The sequence below is a fragment of the Homo sapiens genome, chromosome 1, assembly GCF_000001405.40.
Source record: "Homo sapiens chromosome 1, GRCh38.p14 Primary Assembly".
Taxonomy (NCBI): Eukaryota; Metazoa; Chordata; class Mammalia; order Primates; family Hominidae; genus Homo; species Homo sapiens.
In genome coordinates this window covers 176785507-176807531 of record NC_000001.11, presented here as the reverse complement: position 1 = coordinate 176807531, position 22025 = coordinate 176785507, and the positions used below count along the sequence as shown (strand labels likewise).

Here is a 22025-nt window from a genome sequence, read left to right as displayed (position 1 = left end):
AGAGTGAGGCTCTTTCTCAAAAAAAAAAAAAAAAGAAAGAAAGAAAGAAAATATCAAACTTGGCAGGCAGGTAGCTCTTATTGTTCAACTTCTTTTTTTCTAAAATGGCAAATACTGCTTGGCTTTTCTGACAGCTCCTCATTCTTTCAAGAAAATCAAAATACTTAGGTAGGTGATATAAAAGGTCTTACTGGTCTTATTAAACAGTCCTTTACCAACTCTCTCTCCAGCCCAGCTCAGCTTCTCGCCCTCTCAACATATACACACACTTGTATTGCCTGTCACTGTTCTATGAGAATTAATAGTGGGGAGAAGTATCCTTGTGCTTTGAGTAACAGAAGTGATTCAGCATTACTGATAAATGCAATTTGACTAACCTTTATCACATACTCAATTATGTTTATCAAATATTCACACAGTAGGTACTTGTGCATCCTTTATCATGTCCTGACTCTCATATCCATCCTATCTTAGACTGAGTTTTCTCTTGCGGGTGGGCTAGTCCCATGGTAGAAGCAGTAAATCCAAAACCAGAATTGGTCTTGAAATGAAAGTCAAGGAAGGAAGTACTAACAGATTTCCAAAACCTAATCCATCCAATGAATAAGAAGTTGAGGCTAACCAAGAAGAAGGCTGTAAATCTGAAAAGAGGCCCTATAAGAGAAGGACCTGTGGGTGTAATGAAAACCAAAATCTACTTGGAAGGCAAAACATTCCCAGAAACAAGAACAGGTTTGCCGTTATTCCTGAAAAATTAGCACAACCATGCTTTACTGAGGTGTGACCTCTCTGAAGGCCCCAAACCACATCTCCACAGTTTTCTGAACCTGAATCTTCACAACAATTTTAAGAGATGAATTTTATCTGTCTAATTTAAAAGATAAGGAAACTTAAATTCAGAAAAGTTAACTGACTTGCCCAAGGAAATAGCTAATTAGAGATGGAGCTGTGTTAAGCCTTTGTTTCTGCCACCATGCCACTTTCACTGAGGTTACAAGGCCTTTTGATTCCACTCATGACAGGGTTTTTATTTTCTACTTCTCCATCTGTATTGTCCCTACTTTACTTCCACTATGCAACTTCACAGAAAACTGATTCAGTCTTTTCCATTTAAGACTCTCAAAGTCAAAGTTCTGTCTGCAACTTTCCATCTCTGTCTTTAGGGGAATAGAAGCAGGTGTCACTGAAGAATTAGGTGTCTCTCAAAGAGGATACAAAAGTGAACAAAACACACTTCCTGCCACTCAGGAGTTGGTAGACTACTGGAAGAATAGACCTATTAGATAACCTTGAAATATGTGATAGATGAGACAATAGGCATCTACAAAGGTATGCATTGAATTTAGAGAGGAAATGGCAGCTCAGGCTCAGACAGAGTTATTGGAAATTTCCTCCCAAACTTTAAAAGGCCTTATAAGTTGCATTGGTAGCCCCAAGGATATCAATTAACCATGGATACTTGCAGTGTATAATAAAAAGTCATAAAGATATAAACTAGATGTAATTGAATTGCTTCCTTTTTTTTTTTTTTTTTTTTTTTGAGAGAGACAGGGTTTTGCTCTGGCACCCAGGCTGCAGTACAGTGGCATGATCATAGTTCACCGTAACCTAAACTCCTGGACTCAAGTGATCCTCCCACCTCAGCCTCCTGAGTATCTGGGGACCACAGGTGAATACCACCATAGTTAGCTGGCTAACTTTTCATTTTTTTGTAAAGATGAGGGTCTTGCTATGTTGTTCAGGCTGGGCTCAAACTCCAGACCTCAAGTGATCCTCCTGCTTTAGCCTCTCAAAGTGTTGGGATTACAGGATTGAGCCACTGTGCCTGGCCTTGATTCTTAATATCTTGTTTCAATATGACCCTGTCCTCACAAAGTTACATGTGTCATTCCTTAGGCAGTATCACTGCTAGTACGTTATATTATTTGACAATTCATAAAACACGTTAAAATCAGTTATTTCACCTGATTCTCACAGAAGTTCTAAGAGAAAGCCTGACAGGTACTGCGCATAGCTAACGAAGGGTAGAGTCAGAATTTGAACCTAATTCTCTGACATCACTCGGCCTCTGTCCTTCTCTGCAGCTCTCTCTTTTTAAAAAGAAAGGGCACAACTCTATCAACAAAGAGTTGAAGAGATCAAAACTGTAATTCAAAATGGAGACTGCTGGAAAGAATAGGATGAACTTGCAAGAAATACATGCTCACAGAGAAAGCAGAGCCAAGAATTAGGTGGATTTTAATCATCCCATAAGTATGAAGAAAACTAATCAGTTCTATGTAAAAGGAGACTATAATTATAAGATAAGTCTTTATCCCTAGGTACATTCCCTAGAGAACAAAATCTTCTTGGCTTAAGTAGAATCTAGGATTGTGGACTTTGGTAGAATTAATAAATATGGCTTTATGAAAGAGAAAAAAAGAAAAAAGGAAAAATAAAAGGAAGGAAGGAAGGAAGGAAGGAAGGAAGGGAAGGAAGAAGGTAATCTATTATCTGATAATATCACAGTGTTCATGGATGGAGTGAACACTCACTTCAATTATTACCCCAGGAGATGAGGAAAACCATTTTTCCTCTTTCTTTTCCTCTCTTCCTTTCTTTCTCTATGCTGGGAAGAAAGTACACTTTATTGGACAAGCATTTAACAGGTCTTTTATACAGTTATCATAAAATATTTGCATACTTATCTATAATTTTAAAATCCATGTGCAAATTAAATTACTTTCAATCAATAAATGTTTTCTGAGCCCCAGTTATTTCAAACATTCAAACATCGTGTTGAGTAGCTAAGATATAATAATGGAAAAGACAATATCTTCAGCTTGTAAGTAGTTACAGCATCATAAAGCAGACAAACAGGAAACTAATACTTTCCCTAAGGTGGTAAGTGGTAAAATAGAGACCAGAGTATGATTATATAACCCATCTGTGGTTGAGGGTGGGTGGTGGGTGGAGTGCCAGTCATTAAATACTCCAAGTAGAAAAAATGTGTTGAAAGATCAAGAGGAGTTAGTCTACAGCAGTGTCTCAAGGGCAGTATTATTGGCATTTGGGGCAGGATAATTCTTTGTTGTGGGCTATACTGTGCACTGTATGATATTCAGCAGCATCCCTGTCCTCCACTCACTATATTTCAGCATCTCCTCCCATTCGCCCAGTCGTGACAACTAAAAATGTCTTCAGACATTTCCCCTAATGTGAGAAGTGGTGGGTGCAAAATTGTCCCTAGCTGAGAATCACTGGCTTAGAGAAATAAGTCACAGGATGAGTCCCGGGAATGGGTTTCAACATGCATGAAGATACAGGGAGTGAAGTAACATGTGGCAACAACAATACTTCTGTGATGGATAATGAAATAGATAAGATTTATAATGCACAATTATGTACAAGACATTAGACTGAGCTCACTGCCTATAATAACTCATTTATCTCATTTATCTTCACTGTAACCTTATGAAATAAGCATTACTATTAAAACCCTGTTATAAAAACTCTATTAAAACTATGTTGAGGCTAATGAGGCACAAGAATCTAATACAACTTGCCCAGTGTCACCCCACAGGTGGGACAAATATTCAATCCTAGATCAAGCAAACAGACAGTGCAAAGCCCAAGCATTTTTTAGAAAACTATGTTGGAAAAGGCTTTTTATGCCTGGAGTAGAGTGTGCACAAAGAGATTTGAAGAGACAGAAGGCTGAAAGACAAAGACTTATTTACTACCTGCAAAGGAGTCTGGCTTAAATGTGAAAACAATGGGGAGTTCCTGAGATATTTTTAGCAGAAGAGACACAATAGAAAGAACCCTGTATTAGCAATAGAGAGAATGAAGGAAATTGATGGGCACAGGTCTGGAGGAAGGGAGAGCAATTAGGAAATCACTGCAAAAGTCCAGATGAGAAATGTTGAGGTCCCAACCAGTGTGGGCAACTGTAGGAATGAGTAGAGCTACTCATATAATGATCTGGTGACCGACTGACCTGATGACTGATTGGACACAATCGATGTCTCCAAGTCATTTGTGAATTATGGATCTCAGTTGGTCTTTATTGGTATGACCGATTTCCCTTTTCTTTTCCTTTCCTTTCCTTTTTCACATCCTCAGTTTACAACTAATTACATTGGGGCTACACCAGCAGCAATGCCCCTGCATTCTGCTTTACTCATTCAGTAAACATTCACGAAGTGGCTAATAGCTTAAATAAATGACACCAGTAAGAATCTCTTACGGGCCAGGCATGACACTCAATGCGTTATGTATGCTATCACATGCATCCCTCTTAACAACTCCTTAAAATAGCTTTGTTGACCCAGTTCCCAATACAGAGGCTCACACTACTCAGCTGACCCAGGATTGGAATCTAGGGTCGTTTGACTTCAAAAGTTTTCCATTAACTAAGTTGCCATTCCTTGCCCATATGCAGTTTACGAAAGAAACAGAAGATACAAGGAGTATTCAGGTCTCAAAGGCCAAATGCAAGCAACAACTAGAAAAATAGAATTGAACGTACCAACAATTTTGGATTGCAGATATGTAGCATACGTGTGTTCTTGCTGGGACAATGGGAACACAAGCAGCAACAACTGGCTTATGACCTAACATAAGAAGATGGAATTATTTAGATAAGAGTTTTTAAAGAAAGTCTTAGTGGCACCTCAGAAAACATAAGCAGCACAGAATAGTGGATAATTGAAAGCAAATCCTTATGCCAAGAGAATATGATGCAAACAAAAGTGCTGAAGTAACATGAAGGGCAATATGGGCTGAGGATACTGAGCTGGTGGATTTACTGCCTTGGGCTTATTGGGAGAAATAATGAATGAGGCACTCCACCCTTACAAGGCTAAATATTAAAAGGAGGCCTCTTAGAATGATATTCAGTACTGGGAAGCAAAAAGCAGAAAACCCTTTTAGATACTGGGTAACAAAATACCTTATTTGAGCTCAGATTTCTGTGCTGCACTTTTAAAAGCTTCCTCTCTCCTACCTGGCCGGCTTGGCTTTATCTTGCCTCCAGTCTGTTTTCCCTCCATCTGTCCCTGACACTCTTCTGTTCTCCCTAATATATTTTGCTGACTTTTTCCAGTAAAGAATTAAGTGTCTGCCAATTTGCCCCTAGAGCATGCCAGTTTCAGCCTCTCTTGTCCTTTCTTTTTCATTTTCACCCGCCTCTTTGCATTTTTTATTACTTATTTCTTCAGAGTTGTTTCTCCTTCTCCTCTCCTGTCCAGTTCCCCTTCCTTTCCTACAGGGATTGATTCACCTGTATCGTTGTATCTTCCTTCCACCCTCAAAGTGGCTAAATAATGTTAGCTACAATTATTGCTGCACAACAAACTCTCGGTTGGGGCGGTGGTTCTCAAGTATTAGCAAGCCTCAGAATCATTTGGAAGCTTGTTAAAACAGTCTGCTGGGCCCCACTCCCAGTTTCTGATCGAGTAGGTATTCGGGGGCCTGAGAATGTGCATTTCCAGTAGGCTCCCAGGTGATGCTGAGAACCACTGGAGCAGGGGAACCAACAGCTGTTGCCTGGTAGCAGTTAGGCAGAGGAGACATCAGCCCAGCAGTCAGGCAGAGGAGACATGGAGCTTTTGTTCCTTGTCACATCAACAAAGGGACTGACGACAGCCTAGGAAGCTCTGGATAAGTGACCCCGCTGATGTGCTGGGGTGCAGGGAGGAGGGGAGAACAAATGGGAAAAGGTCTGTATTATAACCCTCTGGGAAACACGGAAGCCAGCTCCAAGCCCTGTCATCCACCCTCCCACTTGAGATCATGCATAGAAGCAGCAGAAGGGAATTCTCAGGATCCCTTTGATCTGTTCCCAGCTCCCCAGTCTTCTGTCTGTTTATCTCCCTCCTTCCCTGGCCTCCTCTCTTCCCTCCTTCTTACCCCCTGCCCAGTGGATGATTCACTCCTTCTCTCTCCCGCGTCCCCACCCCACTGCCATCTGTTTTTCTAATGATGGCAGAAGATGAGCTGTTTTGTTGGCCCACACCATAACAAAGCACACTCCATGCTAGCATTTTTCCTGATGCGCTCGCAGAGTGCTGTTTTATTGGTATGATTTCCCCAGCCAGTTTTCCCTTTTCTCTCAAACCCCACCCTTTCCCCCTCTCCAGTCTCATGTGGATCCTGGATTCCCAGAATTAGATCAAGAAACACAGAGATACAGAAGAATGGACTTGACATGCATGTGGGTTGGGTGTGCATCAGGGAAGAAGCTGGAAATCAGGGCAGTTAAAGGGGTCTCTCTGCAGCACCTACAGGAGCCATAATTACCCAAGATTGCTGCTAAGTGGCTTATTTCCTTCCAGTGTGAGATATGGATGACAAAACCTGTTGTGACTGAGACGAGAATGCTTGTACTTGTCACTGGCTATTCTTAGGTTGGGAGGGCTTAAATGGTGTGTGTGTGTGTGTGTGCGTGTGTGTGTGTGTAAGCATCTCCTTCCCCTATGACAGAATTTCTAGGTCATCGTTTCTTAGAAATATTCTGCCCTATTTAAAAGTTGACTTTTAAAATTAACTTCAATTTAAAAGTTGACTTTTAAAATTAACTTCAGTTAATCTAACTAAAGAAATCACAGCAGCCTACATCCCCCCACTGATTGGGGAATCTACTATGTGAAGAAGTAGACAAGATTTCTTGAGGTGGTAAAGGTCTAGTTTGGTTAATCAACAGTGGACAACAGGTCTACCTAAGAGATTGCAAGCATAGATGCCTGCATGACCCAGGCAGTTATTTTAAACAAGGGGTGCCCACCAGGTAAGTAGCCATAGGGAAAGGTAAAAGCTGTGCTAACTGGAGAGAGTTGCCCACCTGGGGTGCAGCTGCTACTCAGATCCAGCTAATTGTCATCACGGTTGCCAGCTAGTCTTGTTTTTCAAGAGAAAAATCTTTGTGCAGAGTTTTAAATATTTATTTTTATTTGGGATGTGTGCATATGTGTGTAATGTTATATATGCACATATGAATTTTATGTAAAAATCCTAATTTTTAAACATTGGCAACCAAAAAGAAAATTGGTTTTAGACATTGTGCTGGCCAAATAAACCTGTCAGTGGGCCATCAGTCTCCAAAACCCTGAGTGAATTAAGCTCAAACAAGGCCCAGTTACAGAATCCCAAAACCATAAATAATTCTGACTTGCTTTTTAAGTTAGCTTTTATTAAGTCATTTAAAGTGGATCTCCAAAGATTTTGCTAAAACAAAACAAAAATCAGAACTCCTAATTTCTGTAAATTTAAGATCGTGGAACCAACTTAATTTAAGAAGTTAAACAAAGGACAGAGGAATAGGAGAGGGACCAGGTCCTAAATTAGAAGGATTCAAGCTCCATAAGTTAAATCCACCTGAGTTCTCTAGTCTGAGTTGGGGAAGGGGAGGCTATCTTACCTCACATGACTGGATGCAGTGGACTAAGACGGGGTCTGGGTGCCATTGACGCCGGCCAGTGCACACAATGCTCTAAGGGGAAAGACGGGAAAAACAGAAAACAAAATTAAAGACATTTGTTGTGTGTGAGAAGGGGCAAATCCTGAGCTCACCACAGGAGTCCAACTCCATTTCTCAAGCAGCTAGTTTCTAATTGTGTCCCATAAAGTGGATTGGGGCTATCTAGCCTTTCCCGTGCACACTGCCCACCCTGACAGATGTGGTTCAGGCAGGAAGTCTCAGTGGAGGAGATTTCTCGAAACTTTTCATCCTCTTTCCCAAGATACCGAAATTTTCAGAGTGGTGTAGTGTGGTTTAAAAAAGCATCCTCAATATTATAATGAGTTTCATCTGGTTTCAGGCATAATATTAGTTCCACTTATTTTGAAATTTTAAATAATGTTACAAGAAATTGTAAGATGGTTGTGTTGATCACACACAATGGGCTTTTAAAGATCGACAAATACAGTTTTACAGATTCTTCAACTAAATGTGGACCTCAGAAATGCTAGATTATAAGATGTGAGTGCCCACACCAGGACTGGAGGTGAAATTGCACTCTGTAATTCTTGGTATCATCATGCAGCCTGCCCTGTAGGAAACCAGACAGTACACATATGCAGGACACACAGGGCTAGTGTGAAATCACTGCTACTCAAAATGACACCAACATCAAGCTGGTGGGAGCGCAGTTACGTTCATCTTGAGATGCTGTTGACTGCCTCTTTCCTGATGGCCATTTCCAGATGCATATTTAAACAAATAGTCATCTACTTTTTGTTAAATAATAATAACTCATTTTCACAAAACTTTTTTCTTTTTCTTTTTATAGTTTAAAATTCTCAAAGAATATGCTTTTCTAAGGATAAAAGAAAGTCCCATGGCAGGTTTCAAAGAGAAAAGAAGGTTCTCTCCATAGCCTGCTACCAACCCACCCTTCTGCAGACCTGCATATTCACATTTTAATCAGTCCAACTGAAATTCCATGCACTCAGAAGAAAAAGAATACATGGCAACACAGGAGCTTTACACGAGATAGCACCTACAGGAATTCTAGAAAGCTAACAATGTGTAATCATTAGATTGGAGACATTCACATATGCTAATATGCAGGTCTATAAATATATACCTCATAGTCAGGTAGGAGAATGGGGATCTGCAATATTTTTCTGGAGTCGTACTGCTAAAAGCTAAAACTCCTCCTTCACAGCTTCTCTAGAGGGAAAATAAGTAGTATAAATCCTTATAAAGTTTGATATTCAAAACTTCATATTGCAATATTTGAAAGTGACTTGGCTTAAGTCATTATTGTATTAAAAAGGGGTTATCAAAATAAATATATAAGGTAAACACAAAAGGGGTGTTCAGCCTACTGAAAAAGTGAGTTATTCTCCTGCACTTACAGCCATTTATGCAGAACCATTTGCATATCAACAGTAATTCTGTTAACTAGAAATAATTCTTGTTTATGCTTTAAAGCAGGTTCCACTGGAGCTCTACTGAGCAGTGGTCATAAATTTTATTATTTAAAATATCAATGGTTTGTACTACTTTGGGGTCCCAGATAGTAGCAATGGCAAAATACAATTTGTTCTTTGAAAGGTAAATGTATGAGAACTTTATTCCTTCTCATAGGAGGGTATTCACTATGGACCCCCAGTTCCCCACCCTAATCAGTCAGTTATTCAATTCAGACCAAACATATAAATACCTCACTCACTCACTATGGGTCAGATTTTCCAGTGAGCAAGGGGATCTGAAAATCCATAAACCTAGTCAAGGCCCTTAAAGAGTTCAAAATCTTTAATCAGATCCCTGTTGATGAATATTTTGGTTATTTCCAGTCATTTGCTATAACAAACAAAGCTTATATATAAATCATGTACAAGTATATCTGAAGAATAAATTCATAATAGTGGAGTTGACAATACCCACCTTATAGATTTTTAATGATGCATAATTCAATTTTGAGACTAATTAATTTATACTGACATCTCTCCTTAACTGCTACAGAAATTGCAAAAGTTGGTGGTACCTGTGTCATATCCTTTCCTAGATTGCAAAATCCTTTAGAATAGGGACTATCTAGCATTCCTACTTCTTACCTCAGTGACTTATGGAAAGACGAAATTTTACAAGCATTTGCCAGCCACTAATTATGATATCGTGTCTCTAGCCTTCTTCTATGAAAATCATATATCTCATAAAGATGTTCCCTATTTATAAATATATGTATATGCCATTAATAAAACAAGTACTTAGCAATTATAATTGGAGGGAAATTTCAAATGTTTTTCAAGACTCAATTCTATGGGAGCATTTGAGGAGCAAGAGGGCTGTGAAACAGGAAGAAAAGCAAAGCAGTGAGATGGACAGGGAAGGGCTGGCTCCTGGTGAGAGGTGAAACAATTTTCTTTTCTTTTATTATTTATTTATTTATATATATATTTTTTGAGACAGTCTCAGTCACCCAGGCTGGAGTTCAGTGGCACAATCATGGCTCACTGCAGCCTCAATCTCTCGGGCTCAAGTGATTCTCCTGCGTCAGCCTCCTGACTAGCTGAAACTACAGGCATGTATCATATCAGGCTAATTTTAAAAAATTTTTATTTTATAGAGATAGGGTCTCACTGTGTTGCCCAGGCTGGTCTAAAATTCTTGGCCTCAAGCAATTCTCCTACCTTGCCCTCCCAGAGTGTTGGGATTACAGGCAGGAGCCACTGTGCCCAGCTGATTTTCTTATTTTCTGAAACACTTTTGAAAAATTACAATCATATAAAGCTATAATGATAAGAAAACTTTATATCCTTTGCCTAACTTTATCAAAAATTGTTAACATTTTCCAGAATATGTCACTATAGATTCAATTCATGTCTCCTATATATGTCCCTCCAATATAATTATACTTCCTTCCTCCCTATTGGTAACAACTATTCTGAATTTGTTATTGTACAAATGCAAATCTATGCATTACTATGTTATTGCAACTATTGCAATTATGCTATTAGCAAGCAACTTCTTGCATGATTGAGTTCCAGTATCTAAATGCCAAAGATTTGTTTTGAACTTTCCAACATAAAAAAAGTTTAAGAGAAAATTAGTTTAAAAATTTCCTCCTGATTGGACAATTTGAAAGTTTCTAAAAAGCAAGGGGAAAAGAAAGGAAGAAAAGAAAATAGAGGGAGGAAGGGAGTGGGAGGGAAGGAAGAAAGGAAGGAGGGAGGAAGGAAGGACGTGGGAGAGAGAGAGGGGGTCAGAAAGAGAAAGAGGGAGAAAGAAAGAGGAGAGAGAGGGAGGAAGAAAGACAGAAAGAAGGGAAGAAAGAAAGAAAGAGAAGGAAAAGAGAGAGGGAGAAAGAGAGAAAGAAAGAAGAAAGAAAGAAAAAGAAAGAAAGAGAGAAAGAAAAGAAAAAGAAAAAGAGAAAGAAAGAAGAAAGAAAAAGAAAGAAAAGAAAAGAAAGAAAAAGAAAGAAAGAAAAGAAAAGAAAAGAAAAGAAAGAGAAAGAAAGAAACAGTAAAGGTTACTAGGATGGTCATAAGTCACCATGAAGGCCGTTGCCTGGTTAAATGTCTTGTTAAAGGTCACAAAACTCAAGAATAGCCAACAATAAAGGCTAACAGAAAATTGCTCAATTATTTTTTAATGGGAGTAGTTATTTGACAGAATGGGCTGCTAATCACATCAGGGCACAGAGTTCTGCCAATGTCCACATTTGTGATAATTTCCTTATTGCTACATGTATGTGCTCCTGAGTAAAACATCCTTTGCATGTTTATTTAGACCATAGCACACTACCCTGCAACTTGCTTTTCTGTTCCTCCTCCCCTTTCCTCCAAGACGCTCTTGTCTACTCTCCTCCAGTGATGGGACACTTGATGCCTAGAGGGAATGATTCCATGCTTAAAAATGATGAAAAAGAAGACCTTTCCATGACTCATGTCTGAGTCTCCAATGATCTGCAGCCAGTGTCACTGGAGCTGTTACACACAGTTGTACCCATCAAGAGGACACTTTGGGGGTGGGGCTGAGCATTAAGAGCCAGAGGGAAGAGTGAGGTCATTTGGTTGGAAACTGTGGCTTTTGCCAGTGTATTATCTTCTCGTTTTCTTCCTCCTTCTCCCTTCTCTTTAAAACAGTCATTTTTATTTAAAGCACTATTTATGTTTTGGGGAACAATTTGGGAAAACAAAGTTAGAAATTATAAGATTTGATATAACTGGAGAATTCTGTTGAAAAGCTGGGAATTTGGGAGAGATTTCATATAGTGTTAAAGGCTCTTTGCAAACCTATTTCATGTATCCACAGGAAAATCTCATTTATTTGGACCTCACTAATTCATAATTATGGTATTCCAGAAAAATAGTGCTGTTTAGTCTGTGGAAAAATGAATTTATGAAGCAAAATAATAGGGGAAATGAGATGTCATGATGAATGTCTTTGTACTTCAGAAGGAAACACTTTCAAATGCTATTTAGAAAAACTCATTTACATGCAAACAATTGCCACAATATGTTAAAAAAATTCTCCATGAAATCAGTCTCCTGAAGGACTACTACTTTGCAAAACATTAATTTTTCCTATTTTAAAGTCATGAGATACAGTAAAACACTCTCTTGACATCATGATTAAGGATAATCATAAAAATTCAACTTAACATAAGCTTTTTGGGAAAACAAAAAGGCTTTCTTTGAGAAATGGCTCTGTGGCAGTCATCCTTTTCTGTGGGCCCTTTGATTTCCTGCAGCCACCTCCTCCTGAGTAAAAGATGAAATGAATCCCGCATTGAGGAGATACCGGGGGTGAAGGAGAAGGTATCATTTCCACCCTCAGCAGTAGTACAGTTTACTGGGGAATTGGGATTAGCATGGCAGAAAAGAAGAAAAAGAATAAGAATCTAGAAAAAAAAGGGATGAGAAAATAAAAAAGTGCCTCTAGTGAAAGTCTGAGGGAGCTTCTCCCACTTGCTGGGTGCAGGTGCCTTGGACAACAGGAGTGTCTGTGCTGCTGCAGGTGCAGGGGCATTGGGCAGAGGCCTTTGATCTGGGCACATGAGGACATGAGCAATGGGCATCACCATTGACGATTCGGCTGCCCCCTGCCTGTCGCAACTGCCAGGTCCCACTGCTCAATCACCTTGGCTGGCAGACATAGATTGGTCTGGCATCCTTCCTTTCTGTCAGTATACTCCTTACCCCACCAGAAGGGTCTAGATCCCCATGCGTAACAGGTGAAGGAGGAAGACACCATTGCAATGACAAGGGCCTAGAAAGTCCATCTGAAAACTTCAAACCCTTACATCTCTCACATCCAGCATGCCCTTGTCTCTCACATCCAGCATGCCCTTGACACATCTAAAAGTACTATATTTTCATCCTGCCTCTCTTCTCAGTCTCACAATAAAAAGCTCTTAGAAATTGCTTCTGTTGTCAGAGGTGTTCCAATAGGGAACAGTGAATAGCCATTAGTTCCTTTCTCAGCACAGTTTATAAAAGAGACAAAAAAAGACAAATGACCTAGACATTATTGTATATACACACACGTGCACACATATACACACACACAAACTATAGAACCCCATTTTTCTTTATTTTGCATGGAGATAGCTAGTGATATCTTTTCAGGGATGGAGGATATTTCCAAGGGGTAAGATTTGTACTAAGTGAACTGAAATCTCATTTCTATTTAATTAAGAACTATGTGCTAGAAACTGTGCAAGACATTTCACATGTGTTATTTTAAATTTAATAACAACCATGCAAGCTAGATATTACCCTCACCCTTGCAGGTGAGCAGACAGAGGCTCCAAGGAGTAAGTGACATTGTATTTGAACCCCGGAGGACCTCATTCTTCCTTTTATGTCAGTTGCTACTTCGATATGTTTTTCATCAAAACGCCAGACTACCTAAGACCTCAGAAATTCTTCCTTTAATAAAAATGTATTATTCTATAAGTCAGGCAGGAATACAAAGCAGAACCCCCAGAGCAAGGCAAATAAACTCTGTAGGCATCTAAAAGTATACTTGATATACTTGAATTTTTTTTTGAGATGGAGTCTCGCTCTGTTGCCCAGGCTGGAGTTCACGCCATTCTCCTGCCTCAGCCTCCCAAGTAGCTGGGACTACAGGCACCCGCCACCACACTGGGCTAATTTTTTGTATTTTTAGTAGAGATGGGGTTTCACTGTGTTTGCCAGATGGTCTCAATTTCCTGACCTTGTGATCCGCCCACCTCGGCGGATATCTTTGTTTTCAAGCTTCCCTCTTTTTTCTTTTCAATGTTTAATCCTTCTTTCTAGGAATAATCCATGTGGTTGTTTGCTTTGAGGATGCTTTGAAAGCCTCTGAAATTACTCCAAAAAATAATGCTCCAAGTGTTGCTCAGCAGACTCATGTCTTTGGCACATAACAATGTCCCTTTCCTCACCTGGACTTTGACAGGTTCCATCCAGTGCTCCAGAGTGTCAGCAGTGATATTCTCAGGTAGCATCACGGGGTCACTGGGGGGGATTACACACAATGGGGAACACACTGCACCTGAAAGAACAGAAGTTTACAGCAGAGACTTGAACTTCCCAGATCTCATTCTTTTTCTTTCAGGAATCAATAGCTTTGAGTTTTTAAAGAACAACTGCTTTCATCATGGGTCACCATATTATGACGTTGTAGGCAGGGCTGATATTCATCTACTGTGTTCCTGTAGGAATACCTTCACACTAATTGGTAAAGAGACTCTGCCCCAACCTAACTCAACTTGCTGCAGGTGTCCCCTCCTCTGTCCTGTCCAGGATAACCCCTCCTCTGGAATGCCTGAATTTCTACATGATGTAGTAATTGAAAGATTAACTCTTGGCCCAGCTGGCCTCCAAGATCCCCTCCAGGACTCTAGCTAGACAAAGTCTATCCTGATTGGCTCATAACTTTTAAATATATCTAATATTCCTGTTTACATGGTCTCCTGGAAGCTTAAAATTGCAACAACTACTACCTAAGAACTTGACATGCTGGTGGTGGTGGTGGTGGGTGGCGGGAAATGGCCCAGAAATTATAAAATTACTCCAGAGACTATTCTTTCTATTGCTGTACTAAAGATAATTGCATCAGCAGCCAATAAACCTATTTGATTAAAGGAGGAAGCAGTGAAGAATCAGAAGCAGAGACTTTGGGCATGTGTTGGTCTCTTGTAGAAAAATCTTGCTCTATTCCCTTCCACACAGAGTCCAAATGTCTCCTAAAATTATATTAAGAGAAAATACACTCTCTAGGTTCTCTATTTCCTCATCTATAGATTTGATGATTTCCAAGTTTCTTTTTAGTCCTTACTGTCTAGGTTTCTATGTTTTTCAGTGACTCTTATTTATTTATTTATTTTTAACTTTTTTTTTATTATACTTTAAGTTTTAGGGTACATGTGCACATTGTGCAGGTTAGTTACATATGTATACATGTGCCATGCTGGTGCGCTGCACCCACCGACGAGTTAGTGGGTTCAGTGACTTTTAAAACAATCAAAAGAACTACATTCCTCTTAAGGCCTCTAGATATGTGAGTATATGATATTTTAACGCAGAAATTGGAGGCTTGGAGGATGAGAACCTGTTTGTGAAATACCACCCAAGAGGAGCATCTGAATTCCCTGATACTCTATGCCTGACCACAAGACATCACTGTGCAAAGAGCACCTTGAAGATGGCAATGAGCTTCCTAATTAATGCAAATTATACTCATTGGCATTGGTTAGAATGTCCGATAAAATTACTCCTTGCTAATGCAGTTCAGAATTTAGGAGTAATCTTACAAGGTTTCGCATCAGCTACAACTCTTTCCTATGATATTTAGGGCCAGCCAAGGCAAAGTTAACATGACTATAAATCAGCTCTGGCCACGAAGACCTTTAATTGTAATTGCTTGAATAAGAAGTTGTCCACGACTCTGGAGCCTATTCCTCTGCAGAGAAAGAATGGCTGAAGAATGATGCATGAAAGAGGAATGTCAAATCATCTCTTTCAGTAATTCTCCACTCCAGTAACAACCACAGAGAATGAAGTAGAATGGAGGAGCCCAGCAGACACATGCTATGTGGCTACACAGTCCCACCTTTCATCTTGGAGCTACAAACCATACCACAAATCCATCTGGTCTAGGCCCCTCAAAGTTGCCATAAATCTCAATTTTACTAAAGCAGCTAAGAGTCAACTTGCATTTCAATCCACTCTTCAGGGAGAACAGTGTCTGATTCGAGATTCAGCTGGGCGGGCTGGGTGCAGTGGCTCATGCCTGTAATCCCAGCTGAGGTGGGCAGATCACCTGAGGTCAGGAGTTTGAGACCAGCCTGGCCAACCTGGTGAAGCCCCATCTCTACTAAAAACACAAAAATTAGCCAGGTGTGGTGGCAGGCATATGTAGTCCCAGCTACTTGGGAGGCTGAGGCAGGAGAATTGCTTGAACCCGGGAAATGGAGGTTGCAGTGAGCTGAGACTGTGCCACTGCACCCCAGCCTGGGCGACAGAGCAAGACTCCGTCTGACAAAAATAAATAAAATTAAAAAAAATTCAGCTGTGCTTAATAAAAGAATGACATAGAAATTGACTTTAAGATTCACTCCTATCCTTACCAATCCCATATCCTTGTTCACATTTGTACTCCACAGAATTCAGCTCTGAGGGGGGTGGTGGGCATTCTCCTTGCAGATTCTCACACAACTTAAACTCCTGGGTCCACAGGCCCTCTTTAGTGCAGAGGATGGGAAGCTAGAATATCAAAAGTAAACATCTTAATTATTGTTTTGTTAACTTTATTGAGAGTTGAAAAAAGTGGTCTGATTAAGTGGTAGTATTCTCCAGTTCTAGAACCTGGACCAAAAGACACTATTGAAACAACATATTGTTACTGGCCAAAAAAAAAAAAAAAAAAAAAAAAAAAATTCTTTGCTTTTTCCAAGCAGAGGAATCATGATGACAATTTTTTTCCACTAATGAAATGCATTAACAATGTATTTTCCTTTATATATAGGAACACAATCAGCTATCAACCGAAGCTCATATATTCAGAGCTATTTTTGGAATTGTTTCCCAGATGGTGTTGTTTTACACTGATTCATCCCCTACTATCACACAAATGTTGCTGGTGGCAAATGTCAGATTTTTTCAAGACGAGTTTCATCCAGTGAAACCAATTCATAATATTTCCTAAAGGTGTGTTTTTGCCTGTCTGCTTAAATGGACACATCATAGTTGTTTTTGGTCTCACCAAAATTCTATTCCCTTTCTCCACATGTGTGCTGGTTTGTGTAACTCTTGGCTTCACGAATTATACTCTATCTAGAACATAGAGAGTAGCACTAACTCTCAAAACCCCAAAAAGTAAGATTTTAGAAATGTAGGTAGCCCTCCCTTCATCTGGTCAACTTGATGGTTCCTTAACCCATCAGTGCAACCGGATGTGCTTGATTTCTCAGGGGTCTCATTTTCTGCCATATTCTTTTCACATCTGTTCCATGGTGCTTACCTTGGAGTACTGGAAACTAAGATAACAGGTGCCAAGGGAGCAGACAAGGACGCTGACCTTTGCCTAGGAAGTCTGCTTGACTTCCTGTCTCATGTATGTGTGTGAGGCTTGAAAGATTCTAAAATAAAATTGCTTTTAGTCACACAACAAAGATAAGACTGTGTTTTTCATTTGAGACCTTTTGTGCCAAAATCCTAGGGAGGGGAAGAGTCAAACAGCACTTCCAGCTTTGCCGAGGAATTTGTGTTTCTGTTCAGGACTCTGTTTTAGAAAAATAATAATACTAGTATTTGTAGCCAACTTATGTCAGTGGCCATCCATGAGAGGAGATCACATTGCTAAATCAGGATCCCAGCATTCTTTTTGGAATATACCTGGTACTCTACCCATTGGATTCTTCTTACCTCAGAGGAAGTTCTGAACTCAGGAGAGAACATTTTAAAAATGTGGTATTTTCTGAATTTTCTATTGCATAATACCAACACTCCCGATTAGAATCCCAAGTCCCTGCCTGTTGGAATTCTTTAGAAATTTCATTTCTCAAATTTCTTGGATTGGGCATCAAGATTAGAGCACAGCCTGATGAAAATAAGTTCAAAAAATGTTCCTTACCTTTTCACGTTCCTGGTTACAGTTGAGCACACACTGGCTGTCCAGGCTGAAGCCATTGGTACATTCATACATGCCTTCAAACACAGGAGGGGGTGGCTCACACACCACAGGAATGCAGCTGCCTTGCTCCCAGATTCCACCTTCCAGGCATTGTATCTTCAGGAGCTTGCTGATAAAACATAAAACAAAAATAGCTCATCAGAATCTTTCAAGAAGGTCATGAAAGACTTGATCCTCAGCAATATGGCATAAGAATTAGCAAATAGGCAGGGACAGATGGTTCTTGTGAGCCATATGTCCCACTGTCCTAGGCTAATTTCTAAATCATGGAACTAAAAATAGTAATGTTCATTTATTATTCAAAGTAGTAGTAAATGTTGTATAGAAATATTTGATCTATTACTCTTTTTTTAAATTTTATTATTATTATACTTTAAGTTTTAGGGTACATGTGCACAACGTGCAGGTTTGTTACATAGGTATACATGTACCATGCTGGTGTGCTGCACCCATTAACTCGTCATTTAGCATTAGGTATATCTCCTAATGCTATCCCTCCCCACTCCCCCCACCCCACAACAGTCCCCAGTGTGTGATGTTCCCCTTCCTGTGGCCATGTGTTCTCACTGTTCAATTCCCACCTATGGGTGAGAACATGCAGTGTTTGGTTTTTTGTCCTTGCGATAGTTTGCTGAGAATGATGGTTTCCAGCTTCATCCATGCCCCTGCAAAGGACATGAACTCATCATTTTTTATGGCTGCATAGTATTCCATGGTGTGTATATGTGCCACATTTTCTTAATCCAGTCTATCATTGTTGGACATTTAGGTTATTCTTAAGAGGGTTTGATAAATAGTACAGCATCTAAATTGTAATTGGGTTTTCTCTGAGATCTTCATCTTGGAAAAGACTCACATCTAAGTACAACGAAATGTCAGGTAAGATGGGGTACAAAAAAGGTTATCACACATTCAAAGAACTGATCAGAAGTGATTTGAGGATCAACAGTGTTGATATGGCAATATAATTGATGAAGTTGCTACTATTTATTGGTTCTTCAGAGAGGGGAGAAAGTGCAGCAATATGAGTTTTCTTTTAAAACAGAGATTCTGAACCTAACTTTCAGAAGGAAAATAACTTCTGAGATGACTGCTCCATTTGTTTACAAGTTTATTTTTCCTTGGAAAGAGTTCATAACTTTCACCAGCTTCTCAAAGTAGACATGACTCAATACTGCCCTGGAAGAATTGGTCCTCCTTCTCATGCCCAGACATGGTCCCCAACCAGAGTGACAGCATTTGATGTGGATTGGAGTCAATGGAATTAGGGTCCTCCCTACTGAGGATTCCATTCCATTCCCCTTTTGACTCACTGCAGTTTGAAAGTGCTTTCCATTTGCCATTTTAACATATCCACTTCTAATGAAAAACACTCCTGGTTACAGATAAGCTTGTAATTCTAAAATATGAATAACCCTTTGGCCATTGACTCTTTCAAATATGTGGCAGCCTTAAATCACCATTTTCTAGTCTCATTACACCCCTTTTAAGGTTAAATATGCCCACCAACCCTTGCATGTTGTCTTCTAACTGACTATAGTGCAATACCTCCTGTAGCTTCTGCAGCACTAGTAAAACATTTATCACATTGTTTTATAAATGCACATGTGACTGTCTTTCCCACTAGATTGGAAGCTTCCAGAAGCCAGAGGCTATGTGGTGGTCTTGTTTGTAATTCCCAAGAACTAAAGTGATATCTGGTTTATATTCGGCATTAAGTAAGTATCTGCTGAATTGAATCATTGAACTGAAACTAACAGCATGTCAGGTACATTGCAAGGCACATTCGATAACACCAAGTTGAATCATTATAATACTAATGAAATCATCTTTTTTTTTCTTTTTCTTTTTTTTTCTGAGATGGAATTTCACTCTTGTTGCCTAGGCTGGAGTGCAATGGCGCGATCTCGGCTCGCTGCAACCTCTGCCTCCCGGGTTCAAGTGATTCTCCTGCCTCAGCCTCCCAAGTAGCTGGGATTACAGGCACGTGCCACCACACCTGGCTAATTTTGTATTTTTAGTAAAGACGGGGTTTTTCCATGTTGCTCAGGCTGGTCTTGAACTCCCAACCTCAGGTGATCCACCCGCCTCAGCCTCCCAAAGTGCTGGGATTAGAGGCGTGAGCCAATGTGCCCGGCCTATGAAATCATCTCTTTAATCCCACCTCACAGAAACACACTAAAGGATGTTAAGTAATTTCTCGAAGACCTCACATCACAGAATTCATTCAACTTCAAATAATTTTAATAATAAAATATTTTAATAGTTAAACATATGTAAATAATATATACTTAGAAATAAGTGGAGTGTTTTATTGTTAAATAATTATTTAGATTCATAACTTTATTCCCAAGGACATTTTGCAATAGAAATCTAATTTTTGGCCGGGCATGGTGGCTCACTCCTGTAATCCCAGCACTTTGAGAAGCTGAGGCAGACAGGTCTCTTGAGGTCAGGAGTTTGAGACTAGCCTGGGCAACATGGCAAAACCCTCTTATCTACAAAAAATGCAAAAATTAGCCAGGCACAGTGGCACGCACCTGTAGTCCCAGCTACTGGGGAGGCTGAGGTGGGAGGATGGCTTGAGCCTGGGAAGTTGAGGCTGCAGTGAGCTATGATCATGCCACTGCACTCCAGCCCAGGTGATACAGACTGTGTCCAAAAAAAAAAAAATCTGATTTTTATGACTGGAATTTTTTAGCATCATAGTCTGTGTGGACATGTATCTTCTAGCTATTAAAATAAATGCCATTTTTGATCTATATTTCAAGTGTTTGGCAAGATACCTATGTACATTATTTTGTTGAATCCTCCAAACAGCACTTTTTTTTTCTTTCCAACTTTCAGGTTCAGGGGTACATGTGCAAGTTTGTTACATGAGTGAATTGCATGTCACAGTGGTTTGGTGTACAGATTATTTCATCACCCAGGTAATAAGCATAGTATCCTGTAGGTAGTTTTTCCATCCTCACCCTCCTCTTCCTCTCCACCCTCAGGTGGGCCCCACTGTCTGTTGTTCCCTTCTTTGTGTCCATGTATACTCAGTGCTCCCCTCCCACTTATAAGTGAGAACATATGGTATTTGGATCAAACAACATTTAAAGGTAAATGTTATTATCCACACTTAAGAAGAAAACTGAGCCTGAGAGAAAATTAAAGCTTATTCAAAACACACGGTAAACCCTGCAGGCAGGATGCAGACCCAGGTTTGCTCACAGCAGAAGCCCCCGGTCCTCCTGCCACGTCAGGCTCTGACTGTTCCTGGCGTGCTCCACAGTTTTATTAATGCGTCCTCATCCTGGGCTGAGCACTCAGATGACCTGTGTCCCAATGCCACATCCATAAGTGGGCAAAAAAGAAGTTTCACTTTAAATTTTTGTATTGAGTAATGAATTACATATAGAAAAATATGCAAATCTTAGCGTACGGCTTGAGGAAGTTTTACCTGTGAATGCAGCTGGGTAACCACCAGTCAGATCAAGATACAGAACATGTCTAGCCCCTAAGAATTCCCCCTTGCATTCCTTCCCAGCTAAAATCCCCCCACCCTCACAGCATACTACTTTGCAACACCAGACACTTCTGACTTTCATCAGCATAGAGGAGTTTTGCCTGGTTTTAAACTTTATACAAATGAAATGTATTGCTTAGTAAGTTTCTTCTTTCCCTCCAGAAAGATGACATTTAAAAATGCCTCTCCAAATCTATTTTCAATTAAGGGTTTGCAGCTCTTTTTTACTCTAACGAGGCTCCTTTTTGTCCCTCTCCTAGAATGGATATTTTACTCCTCCTTCACACTGCAGAGTTTATATCCTCCGGGGACTCTCTTCTTTCTACCACCTCCCACAGATGAAATCCTTCCCCTACCTCTGCTGAACTGATATCCCCCAGCTGGAGAAAGCAGGCAATACCACTGACAGCAGGGGAGAAGCACGGCTGTAAAAACTTTGCATGTCAGCATGATTATAAAGGAAAACCCTTGCTTGGCCAGGACGATCATATTTTGACTTCATGTGGTATTTTTCTCTGAATTGGTTGGAATACTTCAACCATGGAAATAGTCTTCCCTTTCCTTGCCCAGAGTTAAAGAGCCATTCAAGAATGCCGATTTCATATATTTCCTTGCCAGTTTAATAACCTCAGGGGTGAGAGTAGACAGATCAAACTTGGATGGGGAAGAAGAATGTAGCCTTCCATCATGGCACCCAGACAACGAGACAGGCCCTGCGCTACAAACCACCAGCAACACAAGGAGGGGGATGGCTAGAAAGCAGCAAGAGAATAGAACAGTTACACCGGACCCAGACTGGAGAGGAGGCACTGCAGGCAGGAGTTGGGAGGGGTTGGCAGAGAGTCCCAATTCCCTAGGAAATTCTGTTTTCTTTCTGCAGGGGTTCCTTTGCCCCTCTCA

The 22025-nt window shown here is 40.1% G+C and overlaps 1 protein-coding gene across 6 annotated transcripts in view; it reads right to left on the bottom strand.

Moving 5' to 3' along the window:
• Nucleotides 1-22025, bottom strand: part of PAPPA2 (pappalysin 2) — a 382427-nt gene that overhangs the window by 38070 nt on the left and 322332 nt on the right. For all 6 annotated transcript variants that reach the window (XM_047427180.1, XM_017002024.2, XM_017002023.2 and 3 more), the window contains 4 exons: nucleotides 17555-17723; nucleotides 16050-16185; nucleotides 13863-13972; nucleotides 7400-7471 (listed from right to left, as the gene is read on the bottom strand). In XM_047427180.1, the coding sequence (XP_047283136.1) occupies nucleotides 7400-7471; nucleotides 13863-13972; nucleotides 16050-16185; nucleotides 17555-17723 (487 nt within the window). The remainder of the gene's footprint in view (nucleotides 1-7399; nucleotides 7472-13862; nucleotides 13973-16049; nucleotides 16186-17554; nucleotides 17724-22025) is intronic.